At 49.6% G+C, this 20,993-nt stretch overlaps 1 protein-coding gene across 14 annotated transcripts in view, besides 1 other annotated feature; it reads right to left on the bottom strand.

Moving 5' to 3' along the window:
- Positions 1-20,993, bottom strand: part of MRAS (muscle RAS oncogene homolog) — a 57,888-nt gene that overhangs the window by 34,874 nt on the left and 2,021 nt on the right. For 4 of the 14 annotated variants that reach the window (XM_047447696.1, XM_047447697.1, XM_047447698.1 and 1 more), the window contains one exon: positions 15,244-20,978. The exons of the other annotated variants lie outside the window; for them this stretch is intronic. The gene's annotated coding sequence lies outside the window, so the exon portion shown is untranslated. The remainder of the gene's footprint in view (positions 1-15,243; positions 20,979-20,993) is intronic. 14 annotated transcript variants of the gene reach the window in all.
- Positions 9,738-10,572: an enhancer, noted in NCBI's record as "H3K4me1 hESC enhancer chr3:138078932-138079766 (GRCh37/hg19 assembly coordinates)". NCBI's record gives its function as "activates a minimal SCP1, AML or CMV promoter by ChIP-STARR-seq in naive H9 embryonic stem cells {active_cell/tissue: H9 hESC(naive)}" and the evidence as "EXISTENCE:reporter gene assay evidence [ECO:0000049][PMID:30033119]".

Here is a 20,993-nt window from a genome sequence, read left to right as displayed (position 1 = left end):
TTCAGCTCCTTTGGGGCAGTATAGGACCAGGTTCCAGCTGTGGCCCCGGAATCTGGTTCCAGCATCTCCCTACAACACGGGACGGGCTGAGGCTTCACTTAACTGAGCTCTTCCATGGCCAAATCCATGACGGTGAAGGCAGGCCAAGGAGAGAGGGCGGAGGGGAGTTGCAGGGTGACAGAAATGGGGAGGGAGGGGTGGCCCAGTGGCCTCTCTCCTTTGCCTCTCAGAGCTGCAGAGCGTGGGGTTCACTCCTCACTGCCCCTCTGCAACTGCTGCTCTGTCCTGGGCAATGACGCTGGGCTATGGGTGAAAGGTGTTTGCTGGTGTTTGGCTTTTTGTTTTGTTTTTGGGTGCTACTGTCACCCAGACGGGAGTGCAGTAGCGTGGTCTCAGCTCACTGCAGCCTCCGCCTCCCAAGTTCAAGAGATTCTCCTGCCTTAGCCTCCCGAGTAGCTGGGATTACAGGCGCCCACCACCATGCCTGGCTAATTTTTTTGTATTTTCAATAGAGACAGGTTTCACCATGTTGGCCAGGATGATTTTGCTCTCCTGACCTTGTGACCTGCCTGCCTTGGCCTCCCAAAGTGCTGGGATTACAGGCATGAGCCACCGTTCCCGGTCGGTGTTTGGCTGTTCTTAAAGCTCCCATTCTCTGCTGGCAGCGACATAACTAAAAAATACTAAGTGGGTGGGAAGGTATTGAAAAGGAAAACCGTTTGTCTTTATTTTCTTCTCAAAAGAAAACAAGATAAGAAATACACTAGTAAATATGCTGGAGTACATGAATGAACCTTTGAGTCGGCACTCAGACCACCCACAGCCAAATCACTTGGGGACTCCTTAAAAAATGCCCTCTGCTTGCCAAGGCAGCTGGCAGGAAATGGCCAGTGGGGGCCCCCTCCTTTTGACAGCACCCTGCTCTCAGAGGTTGAACCCTCAGAGACCACAGGGAGCCAAGCCGGGGTTCCCTTCCCACTTGGGGTTTCCTTCTAATTAGGACACAATGGAACAGGGCTAGACTACTCATTTCACACAAACATCAGACTGGGCCCCTTGTGAAAACCCTTTCAGTGCCCCACAATGCTGAGGAGGAAAGTCCAGGCCCCCTCACAGGACATTCAATGCCTGTCGCTGGCTGCCACTGCTGACCTCTCCAGCCACACCCGTGCCGCAGCCCCTTATACTCTACTGTCACCCCCAACCAGGTTTGTGGTCCCCCAATGTGTCCTGTGGTCACACTGCAGCCTCTGTGCACACCTAAGACCCCCAGGAGAGCACAAACCTCCTCATGGGTCAGCACCAGGCACTGCCTCCACCTGCGCTTTGAGCCCTGAAGTTCCTGCCACAGACGCCACAATGATGCCTAGAATTTTCTAAGTGTTTACTGTGCACAAAAGGGCAGGAACAGCATCTTGTTCTTCTCTGTACTCCCAGAGCCTGGCACAGCATTGGCACAGGGCAGACACTTACTGAATGAACTAGAGGTTCAACACGCATTTCTGAACAATGGTCAGACAACCTACACACCACAGAGCTGGCTTCCTCATGGAGAGAGCTAAGGGACAACTCTCTCAGCCAGGGCTTGGGACTGTCTCTCTCCTACTAAGAGATGAGACTAATGGCACAGACAGGACCCTTGGAATCAAGTGTGAGCTAGAAACAAAGAAGGGGTTTCCAAGGCTGGAGAATGAGTCCAGAGAACCCCCCAATTCCTAAAGGTGCTATCTCATCTTGATAGGCATGTTTCTCCGGCCCCCCCCAAAACCCTGATCAAATGATGTCTTTGCAGATGGGGAGGTCAAGACGCCAAGAGATATGAACCACACTCCTACAAAATAAGCTGGTCTCATGCGGTACAGAGAAAGATTTTTTTAAAACCACTCACAGGCTACGACGAAAAGTCACCGCAGAATGAAAAGTTGGTTGGTTGGTGGGTAAGGAGCAAACTGCTGACATTCACAACACCCCTCTCCTTTCCAGCCTTCTCAACTAAAAAGCACCTCGGAGATCATTCTAGGATGTTAGGTCTTCACTTTTGAGGATGATGGATGTGACCCTTTGAGGTGGGAAGGTGGTATAAGGTAGACTTGGGGTTCTCCTTAAAGTTTCCCCACTATTTTCTGTGCTGAATACTCCTCCTACTGACCAGTTGAGTGACCTTGGGCAAATTACCTTCTATGGCCTCAGTATCTTATTAGTAAAGTGGGTTAGTTGGAGACTCATACTTTGTAGGATTGCTCTAAGCATGAAATAAAATGTGTGAGATATGCTGAGCTCTGAGAAGATGCCCAAATGCTCACTTTCTCACCTTGTTTACTTTACTCCCAAGAAGAGGGAGCACACACACACATATACACACTCACACATACACACTCACACACACACACACTCTCTCTCATTCCCAGCCTCCTCTCAGCATGAGAAGCCTCACCACCATCTCTGCTCTGTTAACAGCCAGACAAAATAGGCCTGTGTGGGAACATCACCCATCATTTAGAGCATTGTTTCCATGGGAAATGGCTCTGAGGTTCCAGGCAGCCCCATCCACGCAGAAACCAACTTTGGGAACAGCAGCCACTTGGCCGTGGGGGCGGCTGAACTGGTTCCCATGGCAACCACTGCTCCCAGGGCCCCGCCCAGGCCACAGGCTGCATGGCAACCCAAACCCGTTGTTCATACTGGAAACTTCTGCCTAAAAGGCAATATCACTTCCTCAATAATTTTAATAACATGTGTACAAAAACCTCAGGCATCTGTAAATGGAAAAATAAGCTCTTTTGGCTGTTGTCTGCCTCTTGCTCCCTTTCTTTCCCCATAGGTAGAACCTTCTTGCATGGTTTGAAGTTGTTTCCCTGAATGCCAGATTTACCTTGTCAAACAGATTGTAAGCTCCACGAGGACAAGAGCCACATCCTCTCATTCCTTTGCCTCTCACGGGGCCAGGCAGAGCCCAACACATGGGAAGCTCAGTCTCTACTCACACTGCCCTCGTCACTTTCCCAGTGCGGCCTTCTACCCACACGGGCCTCCCTTGTGCTAAGAAGCAGGGGGTCACACCCATCCTTCTGAAAGGGGCTGGCTCATACCCCTAGGAAGTGGGTGGCTGGGTGGACTGATCACCCCAGTATAACCTTTTCACCCAGCAGTCTTCAAAGTTAGCATGGGTGTGTCTAAGACCTCCCAGGAATAGTCTTTTGTAAAAGCCCAACGGTTCTCAGTGGGACAGCTTGGGAGGTCAGGGACAGCCTCAACTCCACAGCCAGGCAGCCGGAGTTCCACTGTGGCCTCCAATACAGACTCCCTGTGTGACCTGGGGCAAGTTTCTTAACTTCCTGGTGCCCAGTTTCCCCATCTATAAAACAGGAGAACAAGGCCCCAGGAAGGTGTAAGGCCTCAGTGAGAAAAACTTGGAGGGCCCCTCAGCAAGGGCATATTTGCATCGACAAAGTAGTTGGGCCCCTGCTTTCCCTTCAACCTGGTAGACTTCGGTGATTTAAACCATTTCCTTGCCCCATCCACAGCCCTAGGGAAGGGCATCCACACTGCATAGGACAGCAGCAGGCCCCAACAGCCCCCACAAAATGGCAAAACGGCAGGGCTCAGTGGGTCTTACCCCTCACGAAATTTGCCACTTCTCCTCAGGCTTCCAGGTTCTAGGGCTTCTACAGAGCTTGTTTCCCAAAACAATAGCCTAAAACCACTGCACCCATTGTTCTAAGTGAGCAGCACATGTTAAACGAATGGCTTCAGCTACAGATGTTGCCAAGGGGTCCATAGGTCCCCTAGCCTCTCCATGCACCCCACTCCACCCAGCATCACTTCCAAAGCAGTGTCCTATGTACTGGCCAGGAAAAATGGTGCCCAGAAGGAGCTGCATAGCAGCAACAACGCCCACCCTTAGTGGACAACTGCTGTGGACTGGTTAGATGCCGAGGGTCATGTTAGAACTGTCATGCCACACTGCCTCCAATTCTTTTGCCAAATCATTTTGCTGCATCACATGGCTTTTCTTAGGGTAGCGTCTTCACGATTCACTATCCTACAGGGCATTCTTCATCATTGTTGCTGCTTCCCTTGGCCCTGACCTTAGGACCACAGATTCTCAGAGGCTGGCCCAGGGCCAATCCAGAGGCTCTCCCAAAGATGCTGCCAACTTTATTGAAGGTTTGGTATTTACTGCTTTTTGCTTCTGTATTTCTATACTAATTATTTTAAAGAGTCCCCTTAACCCCACCAATTGAATTGCAAGTATTTTAGGTAAATCAGGCTAGAAGGGAGGACACATTCATAATTAATGGAGCTCTTAGGAAAGTGAATGGACTTTCATTCACGTTGAGCTGAATTAGACCTGGGAAGCTAATCTCATCTCTATGATGTCTGGGTGTGCCCAACCCAGGGGGATGAGGACACGCTGGGGAGAGTGACCCAACCCATGTGGAGGAAATGGCTCTGCATTCCAGGAGCTGCCCTTCCCTTCTGCACAATTCCCAGAAATGGGCAGCTTCACCAGAGCGCTGACCTGCAAGCTGTGTGTTAATGGCATGTGACCCCAGAGGGGTCTAGGCCACTTGGCATCCCTTAAGGCTTCACTCTCCGCTCCCCGAGACTTTGCTCCAGCCCCTTGTTTCATATCTTTGCTAAGCCAAGTGTGGCACTGTCATTGGGCCTCTCAACTACTCTAGAAAGCCACCAGTGCTTTTCAGCTCACTCCGTTATTAAGCCCTAACCACCCACCCAACCATGTATGTGGTTTCATGCCATAAACATCAAGTCTCAAGGGCAAGTAGGTGGCATGGGTGCTGCTCCCCCCCATTCCCAGAGCCACGGCAGACAACACTGATGGATCATGGTCCCCTTCCTTGTCAACACAGTACTCTTGGCAGCAGAACACAGTGACTGCTCCAGAGAGAAAATCTGTTTGCTGCCCCAGATCTAACTACTACCTTTCTGGTTCCCTCCAAAATATCCCACTTAGTGGCCATCCTTTTCCATAGGAACGGCTCAGGACCTTTAGGGGTAGCCTGCCTGGTGATGTCTGGAGATCTCTATTACCCAAGTCTTCTGTTAATCTACCAATCCGTGCTTTTCTTCTAATCTCAACTCCTCTGCCAGGATCACACCTGGACTGCTGTCAGCAGAGCAGAAATGATCAGACAGAAGTCCAGAGATCCAAGCAAAGGCCAAGGTTGAAGTAAGTCAGGGAGGGACACTGTTGTTGGGCTTACTCGTGACCCCTAAGTACCACATGCTTCCTCATATGGCAACTGTCAATAACTGGGTCTTTCCCATCAGTATTCGGGCACCTCCCAAACAGGACTCAGGGCGGAGCCATCTGCGACCCAGCACTGAGTCTCAGAGTAGGTATGCAGAAACCACCTGCCATGACAATTATAATTCAATAGTGATCACGTTAAAAGCAATAGGAACATTTAAGGTAAACAATGTGTCAGATGCTGTTGGAATATTTTAATTCTCACAACAACCCTAGAAGGTAGATTCCGATTATCCCCATTTTACAGTTGAAGAAACTGAGACACAGAGTAGTAAAATAACTTTTTGAAGGTCACCAAACTAGAAAGAGGCAGTGTCGGGATCTGAAACAACACAGTGTGGTTCCAGAGCCACTGCCAGCCTGTAGTGCTAGGCATCCTCTGCTGGCTAGGGGCTGGTGAGTATGTGTGTACAGTCAGGCCAGGGCAGAGGCAGCTGATCCAGGAGTGCTGGAAAGAGGTCAGCAGTGAGCTGGGAGATGGTGTCAGAGTAGAAGACACCCCCAAGGTCAGACTGCTGCCCATGTGGGTGAAACAGCTGGGCAGGTCAGAGCTTGAGGGGCAACCAGGGCAAATGCTAGTTACCAAAAATAAACACTTCCCACCCCAGCACCCCAGATCCAGGCTGGGACAGCTTGCTGACCAGGGCATAGATCTGGTACCAGCAGGTAGCCCTCCGCCCTGAGGACCAGTGAGGAAGCTGGGGGCACCAAGCTGCTGTGAAACCCTTATTTTCTAGCACCTCTGTTTGGGACCCTATCCCCTATATGGGTCCGTGCCCCAGCCTCAGCCCATTTCCCTGTGGTCCTACACTCGAGCTGTTCCCTGCCCAGCTCAGGACTGGCCCCTCAACTGGAAATCCTTGCCAAAGAGCTTGAGCTATGCAGACAGCCTGCAACCCTAGGCAAGTTACTTTCTGTACTTTGGTTTTCTTTTCTGTAAAAGTAGGGACAGTGGCAGAATCTGCCTCATGGTGGCTGTGAAAAGCTGCATTTATTTGCTTGGCCCAGTACCTGGCACATAGTGACTGTTCAACAAAAATCAAGTTGTTACCATCATCAACATCCTTCTTTGAAGTCCATCCCAAGTCCCTCCTCCTGCTTCTCCAAAGCCTTTCCTGAGTTCCTTGAGCGCCCTGCAAACTGGCAGGTTCCACAGGTGACAGTTCAACACAGCTCAGCCTCCTACCTCTCCCTTCTCGGAAGGCTAGCAGGCCGATATGTGTGTGGGGGCTCAGCTCCCCGACTATGCCTTGGAGGGCAGCAGGCATGTCTCAGCTGGCCACCGAATCACTACAGCAATGTCCCAGGAAAGCAAGCCCTCAAAGGCTTGCTGAATGAACGTGGATGAAAGGTAAGCTCCTCAAGACGGCTCCTCAGATGCCTTCTTTTGCATTTCTCCAGTATTCAGGAGTTGCTTGTTCACCAAAGAGAATGTGGAAGATATCAAACTGCCAGCAAGTTCAGCATGAAACAAAGTTTCTCCCTCTGGTTTCTAAATCCAGAAGAGCTCTCCATCACAAAACATAGCCACCCTCTGGGTACCCTGTGGTTTGGGGGGGGGGGGGGGTAAATCCTCTAACAGGTCACATGACATGAGAAAGGTCCCTGTTTTACCTGAGCCCAGAGAAAAATGAGGAGGAGTAAACTGGGTGAGGAGTCAGTGTTGGACTGACCCTCCTCTCAAGACACACACATGCTCCTCTCAAGACACACACATGCTCAGGCTCCATGGGATCACACACATCCAGTCAATGCTCCCAGAGCACCTCCTGTGTGCTTGGTCCTGGGAACTAGAGATACCAAAATAAATGAGCCTGAGCCCAGCCCCAGCCTGTGGGGCTCACAGTGTGTATTTTGTGGGGGAGGCAGGCAGAGGATTATGGTACACTGGGTAAGTAATGCAGGAGCACAGGAGTGGGAGGCATCTCACCCAGCCTGGGGGTGCTGCGGAAGGCTTCCTGGTAGAAGTGACACAGAACGGGGTCTTAAAGGCCAAGTAGATATTAGCCACGTAAACAGTAAGGACGGTCAGGCATGGTGGCTCATGCCTGTAATCCCAGCACTTTGGAAGGCCGAGGTGGGTGAATCACGAGGTCAGGTGTTCGAGACCAGCCTGGCCAAGATGATGAAACCTTGTCTCTAATAAAAATACAAAAATTAGCCAGGCATGGTGGCAGGCACCTGTAATCCCAGCTACTCAAGAGGCTGAGGGAGGAGAATCACTTGAACTGGGGAGGCGGAAGAATCACTTGAACTGGGGAGGCGGAGGTTGCTGTGGGCCGAGATCATGCCACTGCACTCAAGCCTGGGCAACAGAGCAAGACTCCGTCTCAAAAAAAAACACAAAAAACAAAAAACAGTAAGGACAAGCATGTCCCAGGTAAAGAATAGAAGCGACAAAAGTGTAATGCATGGAGGCATGAAAAGCCAAGGAGACACTCGGTACTGCGAGCAACATGATGTGACTGGAATGTGGAGTGTGTATGTGTGCATGGCAGGGGCGATGGGTGTCGGGGGTAAGAGTGGCAGGGGAAGGGATTACTGTTGGCTCCCTGGAAACAAGGGATCTTCATCTTTGTATCCCTATACCACGCACGGTGCCTGCCACACAGTGGCTGCTTAATAAGCACTGCATGATGAAAAAACAAGTGCCCAAGGCTGCAGGGCTAGGCAGGGGAGAGCGTTGGGTGTGATGGGCCTCACATGTGCTGGAGGCCCCCGGACCCTGCCCTAGCCCCAAGTCCATACGGGAGTACAATGTAGGCTTGCTAGATGGCTGCCTAACCAAACAGGGCCCCTGCAACTCTTTTTGATGACCACACTGAGGTTAACCAGCAGAAAAAGCCCAGGACAGAGTGGATGAATTACATAGGACAAACTCGAAGTGCTCCAGAATCTCAGAGGAGGGGAAGGGGATGGGAAAGGGGATGGGAATAGGGTCACGGAGGAACAGGTAACCCAGGTTCAGCCACAAAGGCCTGAGGCAGAAAGTTGTGGGGGAGGGTTATTATCCCCATTTTACCAAGGGGAGAGAGGCATTCTACCAAGGGCACAGGCTAGTGAAAAGAGAAGCTGGGATTCAGCACCCAGGCCTGGCAAGTTGCAAAATGAAAACACTGCCCCACTCACCCCCAAGCTTGTCCACTGAGCCTGGTGGGTCTAAGCGGCTCTCAGAACCGAGGAGTTGGTAAGGGCCTCAGTGTCTAAGAGGCCACAGAACCTTCAGAGCAATATTCCCTGCTGGCATCCCTGGCTCACAGGAATGCCTGCTACTTGGCCACCTGGCCTCTGGGGTCCTACCCCAGCCCCTCACAGTGCCCCCTGCCCAGCAACCAACAACCGGGAGGGTGGGAAAGAACTCAGTCCAGGGATGAGGGGCAGGGCGTGGGCTCTGTGAAGGCAGAGCTGCATCAAGCTCACAACTTCTTGGAGTGGCAGCTGAGGAAAGAGAGTAGGAAGTGGTTTTATTTTTCAATCCTTGTTCTCAGTCCCTGGGGGTCTATTAATATTTTCCTAGCACTGGGGCAGTCTCACCCGCAGTGAAAGAGGAGGACTCCTGCAGCCTTCCATAGGAATCTGCGTGCAATTGGGAACGTCATGCTGGTGGTCACTCAACCAGGGAAGGCCAGCCTCTGCACACTCTGGGGTTCCCCAGACTGAGCGCCCTTGGCCTCCCCAGAGCCTGGCAGGCTGCTGTCCTCCCAGCCCTGCTCTGACTCCGCTTTGCCCTCTGCTCACAGAGCCCCGCACCTCCTCACTGTTCTGCTCCGCTGCTCAGGCTCAACCCTGCACAAACTGGATTCAGCCAGCACCTCCCTCACCTGCCCAAGGGTGGGCCCCTTTGCCCACCTCTCTGCCCCAAATTCTCTTCCTTTTTCTCCCTTGGCAGTGCAAACAGCCCTTTACCCACATCCCAGGCCAAGGCCTAGCAAGGCTGTCCACCACTGTGGCCCATGTCTGCCCCCGGCCTGAGCAACCACCACTAGCATTGTCCCACCCACCACTCCAGCATTATCACTCCCCAACTAACCCAAGCACAGAGTCTCCTGGAATGCCATCCATGAAGCTCTCCCCGCTGACCACAACATTCTAGGCCTTTCTTGAGCTGCCCAAGTGCCCCCTTCCCCTCGCATGGCCTCTGCTCTGCTGATTCCTGGTCTGGTGTCCTCAAGGACAGGGATGGTACCCAAGTGTCAGGTCCTATCCCCCAGAAACGATTCCTTCCTCTAAGGCCCTCTTCTATCCCCCAAGGTCTCCTTCCACTGAGCCACCTTGCTTCCATCTATGGAATGCCAACCAGGTGGCAGGTGGCAGCGCAAGTGCTCCGCAGCCATTATTCCATGTGATGACTCAAGACGCTTCACCAAGAGGCATTGTTTAGCCCCTTCAGGAACCGTGAAGGTCAGAGAGGCTCTGTGGTTTGTCCAAGGCCATATCTCTGACCTGAAAGCTCGGCATGCCCCTCTTCATCTGCCCTCAAATCTAGGAGCTGGGTGTTACTTCACAGTCACATTCCTCTGCTAGTGGGACAGTGGACAAAGGGCCAGGCCTTGTCTTCTTTTTCTCTGGGCATCCCAGAGCCCTGGCACAGCTTTCTGCTCAGAGACGCTCCAACGTGTCTGCTGTCTGCATTTCCAAATGCAGGAGTGATACTGGCAGCTGGCTGGGAGTCTGGCTTGGGTAGACAGTAGGACAGAGGTGATGTGGGCACTATGCCATGGGCCACACAGGACCTAGAGGACTGCAGTGGCAGGCCTCACGAAGGACATACCATGTGAGGAGTCCCACTGGACACCCGTGGGCACCAGCCCAGCAGGAGGAGTGGCGATGAGGGGTCCTTCCTTGCTGTCCAAATTCCCAAAGCACTGAGACCCCACCAGCACCCAGGGCATGGCCCCCTGACTGGCCCTGCCTTCTGAGCTGGGGATGCCACACCCAGCCCCCAGAGTACAGCTAAGGTTGTCCCTTAACTCCTTAGCTGTCCCAGCCCAGAACTGCTCATCTCATGGAATCACGGTGTTCCGCCAGTTCAATCTGGTAAGCCCAGGAGAAGAGCAGGGTGGCAACAGAGAGGGAACGGAAGGCCCGGATCCCAGGGCCAGGCATCCCTCTGCATCTCACAGGCCCCTGCCTGAGAGACGGATGCTTTCTGACTGATCCCCCCATCTCAACTGCTTTGCCCTGCAGTAGCAGCAAGAGGGAATCAAGAACAAAACGGACATCCCAAAGTCACGTGCACGTGCCGGCAGAGGCTGTGTCAATAAGTGATAGAAGGGGATAGGTACAGGCAACAGGGAGCAGTGGGGCCTGTGCAAACAGGAGATTACTGACACCCCGCACCAGCTGACTGCTGCAACATAATATCTGCAATGAGCTTGCCAGATAGTCTAAATTTTTAAAGAATAGCCAGCAATCTGAGTCTATGCAAAAACTCAGATTTCTGGCTATTTTATTATTTTAAATACTGGCCACCAATGAAAAAGTTTTACACATTGTGTAACCCAAATAAATCAACACTCTGTACCCATCCTTCTTGAGCACACACACATCTGAGTGGCACGGCCGTTCTAAGGCAGACAACTCTTCGCACTGCCTTGGCTTGGCCTGGCTTTGGTGCAAGGAGGTGTGAGATCAAAGGAAATGATCTCACTGAAGAGAGCAGCAGCAGGGGTTACTTGGCCTGCAGGACATGGGCCAGCCTGGCATTCTTCAGGGACAGGCACACAGCCCACCCCAGGAGTATGTCAGAGCCCAGAGAGGTGGAGGCCAAAAAGGCACATTCAAAAAAGGCTGCTGCTTTGCTGTGTTTTCATTATTTATATTTAAGATGTTAGACACCATTAATGAAGAATGTGAAAATGTTTATGCTTGACCAAAAATAAGAAAGACATAGGGTCTAGGTTCTTCCTTGAGGTGGGGAGAGGCAATTCAACCTTCATTTTTAAAGAGTAACCAGACTGCAGAGAGACGGACTGAAGCCAAATAAAAGGGAAACTTCCTGAAAACGAGGCAGGCATGGCAATGAGTGTGAGATTTTCCTCTGCAAAGGTCTGTGAAGCAGATGCGGAGGAAGAAGGACTGGCCACCTAGCTTTGGAGTGGTGAACCAGGCTGGAGGTGGGTGTGACGGCTTCTCAGGGACCCTTCCAATCCCAGGGTTTTAAGCCCACTCAGCAGAAGGCTACTTTTCACATCTCCCTCCCCAAGCCCTAAATGACTGCTGCATTTTTTCTCCTCAGTAACCAGCTTGCTGCTCCATTCCTGCGAGGCAAGGCCTGTCCAAAGGTCAGTATTGGCTGGGGGGTCGAGGGAAGCTTCCCACCCCTCTGCTTTCTACATACAGCACTTTTATAAAAAGTCATGAATCAAAGCCCCTCTGCTAGCTGTATAACCTTGGCCTAATGAAAAACCTCTCTGTGTAAAACTATTGTTGGTGGGTGGTAGCAGCCACCAGCTGGAGGCGGAACCAGGCTGGGCCCTGTGGCCAGGGATGGTCATTATAATGACCGTTTATTAAGCCCTGACCACATGCTAAGCACCTTAAATATACTTCTCTGACCCCCACTGCACCCCAGACTATATGAGATTACTATCAGGGTCTCCCAAAGCACCCAGCTGTCTGCCTTGACAGCATCCTGTATGCTGGCACTTAACTGCTAGTTAGTTGTTTACAAGACGTAAACATGTAATGCATCTTCCCCACTAGACCGTCACCTCCATGTGGGCAGGGCCCACCCTCTGTTCTATTCTCCACTGTATCTCCAATGCCCAGCACATATCTGGCACAGAGAAGGTACTCAATAAATATTGTCAATCTACATCATCTCTAATCCTTATGTTACAAAATGTTCTAACAGGAAAGGGAAAAAATAACACCTGGCTTTGCCCTGGTCATTAGGAGAGGACTGATTTGACCTGGCTAGTAATAATGATAGCTTAATAATCCCAGCACTTCTGCTGGTTCTTACTGTAGGTAAAGGTAAGGTCTAGAGTGCCTAATTCTTTTTTAGATGAGTTATTTAATGGCCCCTTTATATCTTTGTTTTTTTTTTTGAGAGAGTCTTGTTCTGTCGCCCAGGCTGGAGTGCAATGGCACAATCTTGGCTCAGTGCAGACTCTGCCTCCTGGATTCAAGCGACTCTCCTGCCTCAGCCTTCCAAGTAGCTGTTACTACAGGAACATGCCACCAGGCCTCACTAATTTTTGTATTTTTTTAGTAGAGATGGGGTTTCACCATGTTGGCCAGGCTGGTCTCGAACTCCTGACCTCAAGTGATCCACCCACCTCAGCCTCCCAAAGTGCTGGGATTACAGGCGTGAGCCACCATGCCCAGACCCCTTTACATCTGACAAGGGCAGCCCACAGCCTAGTCTAAGACAGATTGTTATCCTTGTTCTGCAATCAAAAGTAATGAAAATTTGGAGTTTTCAGAAGGTCTGGGGGAAAGTATCCAGGAAAATTGGTCCCTGGAAAATAGCAGTAAACTAGGTTTGAGGAGACAGCCACAGAGACATTCTCCAAGGGTGTGAGCAAGCAAGGGGAGGGTGTCTGACATTCATTTTTAACTTCTGCCCTGATCTGGGCTGCAGACAACTCCCTTTCTTAAAAGCCCTTGGTGGATGCCTGTTACATGCAATAATAGTGGCTTAGCAGATGAAGAAGCCAACCTTACTGTATGCACATGGGGCAAAGTGGAGTGGAGGCCAGGCGGCCAGTGGGCATGGCCCATACCCTGAAATCTTCAGAAATACTGCAGATGGGGAGGGCTGTCATCAATACTTGGGCAATTTTTAAAGAAAATAAATGAAACCCTCAGAGAATTTCTACAAGGAGAAAATCCTTTGGAAGAATTAAGAAATACTGGGGGATGTACCTCTTCATTTCCACATGTCAGGTGAGAGCCTGACCCAGTATAACTGGACTAGAGAAGAAAGGCCAGAGTGTGGCTGGGATACTCCCATTACAGATATGGAAGAGGAGGCTATAGAGGTGGAGATTCACACAGACAAGTAGTGGGACAGAACTGGAGCAGAGGGTTCCTTCAGGAAGGGAGGACTGAAAGTCCCTGAGTCCCCAGGCTGCCAATTCTGCAGCCCGGCTGGGTGGCCTCAGACCCCTCCCTGCCTGAACACCAGGCACTGCCAGAGGCCCCGCTTGGGGCAAGGGCGGCCCCACCTTCTCCTTCCACACAAAGGGGCTCTCCCAGCCCTGCCGTCTTTCCTATTTACCCACCCCAACCCTAAATAGAAAAAGTTCCTGTTAAATGCTCTATTAGAATGGTTATTTTGTTGAAGTGCCAAGTGACCTGCTCCTCCTGTTCCCTGCTTTCCATCCCTCCAGCCATACCCAGTTGGGAGTCCAGAAATAAAACAAAGGCTTTGTTTCTTTATTTTGATTTCCTCCTAAAATCTCAAACATGCAGGAAACACCCACCCAGCCCCAGATTAGTGGATTCAGGCAGCTGTCCACTGCGGTGGGTGGGACGGGGGGACGGGGTCAGTGAGTAGGGGTGGATGGGAAGGCTATGATGCCAGCTGGCCTTAATTGCTTGGGAGTGCCAGGGCACCTGGCCTCTCCTGGGCTGGACTTCCTCAGCAGGAGCATGAGACAGACTAGGCCTTCCAGCTCTGCCCCAGGAACCTCAACCTGAGGAATGTGGGTGGAGAGGGAAGGCTAAGGAGGCATAGCTCATAGAAGTTTTTAAAAATATACGCCCCCAAGTCTTCGGGACAGTGATCCCACCCTCCTTCTATCATCTCTGGTTATAATAAAGCAGACATTGAAAGAAGACCATGATAGACTGGTGAGAGCAGTGTTGGCCAAGAAAGACGGCTTTGCCTGTCTCCTCCTTGAGCCTCCATTTCCAGTGGAGTGAAAATATAAAGAAATGAATTTGTGGGTTATCTAAAAAGGGAGAATTTTCAAGAAGGCACGTTGAAATTCTAAAGGATCAGGAAAAAAAGCTAAACTGAACCAAAATTAATTTTGCTTTTGAAATGAATACATAATGCTTTTGAGAGGCAAGAATCTGCCGCCAACACCCCCCATAAATGGTCAGCTCCTAAAGGGGTGGGGGAGTCTCCTGAATCCACTACACTCCAGCAATCTCCCCACAGATCCACATGCCCACAAATACTTTTACATTTAATCTGTGTACTTGGTATACTAGGGCCAGCCTAATATACAGTATGCCAAGTAGTTTCTTTTTAAACCCAAACTTGTCTTTAAAAAGGTATGCCTGTAAGTATAACACATATGTGGATTTCCACATAATCTCATAGGCACTGGTTGTATAATATGTTCAACTGCCTTCACTGGTACGGCTTCCATTGCAAGATAAGCCCCAGTAAAGCAGGGCCTTCTGAGGTCTCTCAGCACCCAGCCTTCGCTGGCTTTTGCAGCATCTCCATCAGAATGAGGGAAAAGGATCTGGTGGTGCTATTTTTTATTTTTATTCTTTGAGACAGAGTCTCTCTGTCGCCAGGCTGAAGCACAGTGGCGCGATCTCAGCTCTCTGCAACCTCTGCCTCCCGGGTTCAAGCAATTCTCCTGCCTTGGCCTCTGGAGTAGCTCAGACTACAGGCACACACCACCACGCCCAGCTAAGTTTTATATTTTTAGTAGAGACGGAGTTTCACCATGTTGGCCAGGTTGGTCTTGAACTCCTGACCACAAGTGATCCTCCTGCCTCAATCTCCCAAAGTGTTGGAATTACAGGCGTGAGCCACTGCATCCAGCCTGGTGGTGTTATTCTTTAAGGGCAACTCAGGGAAGGAAAATGTTTCAAGACATTCTCAGCACTTAATGAAGAGGACTTGGGGTCTCCCGCAGGTCCCCACTATCTATTATGAAACCAGATGAAATCTCGGTCCCCAATAAGGACTGACAAGAATCTGCCCTGGATAAGAAAGCCTTTCCAGAAGTTTTTGAATCTTTCTGCACAGCTTTAAAAAGCAGAGCTTTACTCACTGTTCTAACTCATGGCAAACTACATGCAAACAGGATAACACCAGGCTTCAGCTCAGGAGTCAATCAGTAGGTGGAAAGGAGAAGGCTGCAAACAGTTGGGTGAGAAGCTGCGTCCTGTCGTCATGGAGAGCTTCTAACTGCAGATGCAGGGTTGGCTCTGCCGCCTTACTCCTGCTTGGCAGAGAGAAGGACCCAGTACCAGGCACCTGGTTTTTTCTGTGAAAGCTGCAGGAAGGGAAAACTGTGAAGTTATGGATTACAAAGTAAGCCATCATACTTTTAGTTTCCTTCTCTTAAAGTAATCCTATACTTTAGAGTATATAATGTATTTTGTGTCCAGGTGTGGGGGCTCATGCCTATAATCCCAGCACTTTGGGAGGTCGAGGTGGGAGGATCGCTTGACACCAGGAGTTCAAGATGAGCCTGAACAACAAAGGGAGACCCCATCTCTACAAAAAAAATTTTTTTAAATTAGATGGGCATGGTGGCACATGCCTATAGTCTCAGCTACTGAGGAGGCTGAGGCAGGAGGATGGCTTGAGCCCAGGAGTTCGAGGCTGTGATAAGCTATGATTGCTCCACCACACTCCAACCTAAGCAACAGAGTGAGACTTCACTGCTAACAACAACAAAAAGCATTTTGTTATCATTGTCATATAATTATAAAAAGAGAATATGTTTTCTCTGTCTTCCAAACATACAAACCTATCATTAATATTACAGTTCAGTTTAGGCAGCTATGACTAAACCATGCTCTACAGCTTGGCTAAACCCACAATGGTCAAGGCAGGTGTTTGTGAGGGTAGATGAACTTCTCTGAAAAAGATCATAGCCAAAAACACACACTCTCCCCAGAGTGGCTTCTCCACAATGTGGTCAGAAGCAGCAAAAGCCTCTTTAGTCAACAACTTCTAGGGAGGCCCACTGGCATTAACTGAGGACATGAAGCCCCAAGAGAGAGCCAATACATGAAAACTCAGGAGCAAGGCTCCCAAAAGCCCATTGCAGGCTGAGGATGGGCCAAACTGGCCAGGGCAAAGGATGAGTGGTCTGGTTTTAAGTCCAGCCCTACTGTGAAAAGGATCAAGTGCAGACAAAATGGTCACATCTGTTCATCTTGGGTAATAGGTACATGGTATTTGTTATACTACCCTTTACACTTTTCTTTTTCAAAATTAAAAAAAAAAGTGCACAAATGATTTAGGGGTTCATTTGTGACTGTAAGATTAATGACAGTCAGGGAAGACTCCTGCCAGCGAGGGACTCGCTGCCTCTCTTTGCCAGCCAGCGTCTTCTGCACCTCTGCTGCCTCACCACATCTTTGTGCACAGGCTGCTCCATCCCTGCTCCTCATGAGGCCTTTGCCCACTGCACTGATTATGTAGAGCCACACCTCCATGGGATAGGTCCCCTAAGCACCAGGAGAGAAGGGATCATGACATTTTTGGTCACCCAGTGCTGGGAACAGCACGGTCTAACGGAAGGAGCATGCACTTCAGGAAGAGACAGACCATGGCCAGATTCCTTTCTGACTCTGCTTCTCTCAGGTTATGACTGCAGGTGACCTACTTAACTTCCTTGAGCCTCGGTTTCCACATCTATAAAAGGTTAACTACATCTAACACAATTTTTGTGAGGCTTAGAGATAGCGAATATAAAGTATACAGTACAGGGTCCAGCCCACAAGTCTTTGCTGAAGGAAAGATGGATGGAGAGATGGATCAATGAATGGACGGGTAGGTGGGTGGCTGCAAGGATGGATGGAAGAAAGGACGGACATACAGAGGGGCTGTTTTTAAACTATGACATTTGAAGAGCAGTTGAAGAAAGTAAAGCTGCTCATGGTGGAGAAAAGCAGGACTGTCAAAGGTTCATGTGGGACAGGTTAAGGGAAGAAGGGAAAGAACTTCCCAACAATGAGAGAATCCGCAAATGCAGTGGACTGACTCAAAGGGTAGAGACACTGTGTCTCTAGAAGGGTCCAGGTGAAGTCAAAGACACACCCCTAATGGGCTGTCAGGGAAGGAAGGACTCCCCTTGTGGAAAGTTTCCCAGCCTTTCCTCAAGGGCTCACTTTCCCATTTGGGCCATATTTGTCTACTATTGTACTATAACTAGCTTAATCTGAAAACCACCATACTTTTAAAAATTTTCTTTTTTTTTACTTAAAATACTTCTTTAGCCTTAATCTGGGCAAAATATCCATTAAAAAACTCCCAGTTTGTTCTGATGCCTGTATTTTTATAATACATTCAAATAAACCAGCATATAACTATTAAAATGAAAGATGCTGTGTCCCACCTAAAATCATCTTCCTCACCACTATGAGAAATGTGCTCTACGGGGTGTGACTCGACTTAATACACTCAGGGGGCTCCTTCTGGGTCTAGGATTCTGTCCTCCGAAGGTTGCTTGAATACTGGTAGTGGTCTTCATTCTTCCAGCCCTTTCTGGCCTCCCAAGCGTATTTTCACGTGTATATTTTATCTAATCCCCATGACGACACTGAGGGCTGGGCAGAGAAGTCACAGATGCAGCCTGGGCCCAGGCAGCACAGGATCCAGACAAGGCCCTACAGATGGTCACAGAGGCCAGAACCAGAGCTCCCAACTCTCCACCCACCCTCCTTTGCTTGGCCACTACAAGCTGCACAGCCGAATTCATTATTGGTGCTCTCCAAAATCTTACTAGCACTACAACCCATATGTAAATCATATTGTTTTATCCGTCAAGGTAGCCTGATGCGAGGACTATACCCCTCTGAGACTCAGAAGGTCACTTCAGCAACCGGTGATGACCCACATTGTCATGCAGCAGTCCCCACCTAGTGAAGCTACCAAGAATATTAAAGACAATGATAGGGACATTAAGAAGCAAAATACAAAAAATACATTTTTATATATAACATATAACCAAAAAAATCAAATAATAAGGATTGGACTAGAATATAAAAATATTTTTTAATATAACAACAACAAAAAGAAGCAAAATACACATTGCTGCTTCATGACTCCTACAAGAGGAATGCCTGCAGAAAGCTGTCTTAGATCATGCTGGCCAGCTAAATGGCCCTAGGGGCTCAGTGCTGGGGGCCAGGGCAAGGAGGGCCAGGGTGGAGTCTCTGGGAATAGGTGGAACCAACTGCATCACACAGGTAGCGGGAATGCTTCCTAGAGAACAAGAGATGGGGCACCATTGAATGCATGGCGAGTGCAGCGTGGTCTCCACCTCAGCCTGAACCTCATCACCTCTGCGGAAGCATGAGGCAGTGCCAGCACTGCCCTCTTTGTCAGACCCACTGGCTGACTGCACAGACTTCAACTCACAGGCTGGGCAATGACAACTGTCCCACTCTATTTGTACTCTTGGCCCCCATCTCTGCCCTCTCACACTGCACTGGAATGGCATGCTGACTTGGCTGCACAATGGGCTTACAGAATAGGTCTGCCATGAACATTAGAGAAGTCACGTGCCTTTAGATCAGAGATGGCTAAACTGGGATCCAGGGCTGGTTTTCAGAGATCCATGAATCCCCTGAATTATATGTCCAACTTTGTACATCAACGTTCCCTGGGCTTCTCATCAACATATTAAAGAGGCTGTGACTCAAGAAGACAAAACCTATTACTCTGAACTCCAGACACTCAGCCTTTATGGCTACCTGTCCCATGCAGGAACTTGCTGGAAGTGGCACTGATATCCCATTCCTGTGTACAGAGACCTTCCAAGAGCAGAGAGCATCTTTGGGAGATCTGAGCTCTGCTTAATCTTACTTACTGTTATTTGGGTTTTGTTACTTGCAGCCAAAGCATCCCCATTGATTCAGTACTACAGGGCTCAGAGGCATGATCTAAGACTTAGGAGGGCTGACAGGGACTCAGAGTCCAGCAAGAAAATTCCTCTTAAAGCTTGAATTCTCTGCTGAGTCCCTAGACAATGGGTACCTGCCAGGTGTCCCAGGTCTCAGGGAACTCCTCCAGCTCCTTTTTTACCTGTCTCCAGATAAAGGTGACTGTACCTTCTATGCCTGCCCAGGGCCTGGCAGGTACAGAGCCTCTGGAACTCAATGCACATCCTCTGGACACTTAAGAACATTCCAGCATTGCACAAGAATGCATTCCCATTCAGTTCACATGAGTATGCTTGTACAAACTACACAATGCTCATGAGCAGGTATGTTTTTCAATTGCTTTCAGGGAGACACACTCTGTTTGGGGGCATTTCATTGGCAGAACAGATTACAATGGTTAAATCTGATGTGAAATATATTATGGAAGCCACATTTCCCTGAGAACTCACTAGATCCAGGAGGCTGGTCAACATGTGATTCTGACTGAGGTTAGGACCAGTCATCCCAGGAGCCTAATTTATCAGAGGCCAATAGTCATTCCTGGTTCCAGGTGATCACTAGAGCTTAGGAACCAAACCAACCCCAAGGGTAACTGACTTGTCACTTTTTTTTTTTTTTTTTTTTTTGAGACAGGGTCTTGCTCTGTCACCCAAGCTGGAGTGCAGTGGCGTGATCATGGCTCACTCCAACCTCTGCCTTCTGGGCTTAAGCAATCCTCCCACCTCAGCCTCCCAAGTAGCTAAGACTACAGGTGCATGCCACCAGGCCCAGCTAATTTTTGTAGAGACGGAGTTTCACCATGTTGCCCTGGCTGGACTTGTCACTTTATAAGTAGCTCAGACGAACTGAGTATGAAATACCAGTGGCTAGAGCTAATAATAACATAAAAGTTAAACCTGTCATAAAGTGTCTTATGTAGGTGAAAACAGAGGTGGAAATTAGCAACTGTCTTATGGAGGAGCGAAGCTGACAACGCTGGAGACAATCGCTTGCTTCACCAAAGGGCCTTGACTACCGCCTACCCCAGTCCCGCCCCCAGCTTTAGGAAATGCCGAGGTCACATCTAGGGGGTCAGTTTCCACCAGAGCACGAGGCTTGCCCAACACCTCCCTCCCCAGAGGCTGGCAGACCTCAAAAACCCCAGAGCATGAAAGCCCCATGCCTCCCACCCCGGCAGAAAAAGGACAAACTACACCATAAACTACAGAGAGAAGCTAACTGGCTGCTGGGCAGTGTGAACAGACCTAAGGGTGAAAACCATTGCCCGAAACATTTTCAGCCCCACTCAGCAGGGACATGTGATTTACAGGAAATTAGGAGGTTTACAAAATGTTAGCAGCTCAAGTTTCTTCCCCGGGAAAAGAAGCAGGAGAAGCTCTAAGAACCGTATCCGAGAAAGTGCTTTGTTCACTGCTAAGCTTCTGACACGAGTCAGTTATTAATACCCACAGCTCACTGCCTCACACTTCAACCCACCAGTGAATGTCTATAGTGAATAATTATAAAACAATATATTACAAAACTCTAACACAGGCTGCACCAGAGCCTTCCGAAGCCCAGGACAGCCACGTGGCCAAAAGCATGGACTTCAGATATGATCTTGGGCAAGCTGTTGGCTCTTTTTCACCCCAGTTCCTCCATCCTTTACAATAAACAAAATCCTTCTGGAGGTGTCTTGTCAAGAGGTGTCTTGTCAAATGATGAGCAAATCCACTTCAAGTGCCTGGTCTTTGGAAGCCCTGTTGGTTGCTGTTATTACAGTGGAGTTTCAGAGCTCTTAAAGTCATATCTCCATCTTACTTCTGCTGCCAGACAAACCTCTGGAGGCCACGATTCCGAGCCTTGTCAGCCACCCTCTCTGGTCAGGTCCAGGACAGAGTGAGTCCTAGAGGAGCAAGGC

Source organism: Homo sapiens, chromosome 3 (assembly GCF_000001405.40).
Source record: "Homo sapiens chromosome 3, GRCh38.p14 Primary Assembly".
In the NCBI taxonomy this organism is placed as follows: domain Eukaryota; kingdom Metazoa; phylum Chordata; class Mammalia; order Primates; family Hominidae; genus Homo; species Homo sapiens.
This window is presented reverse-complemented; position numbering and strand designations above follow the sequence as displayed.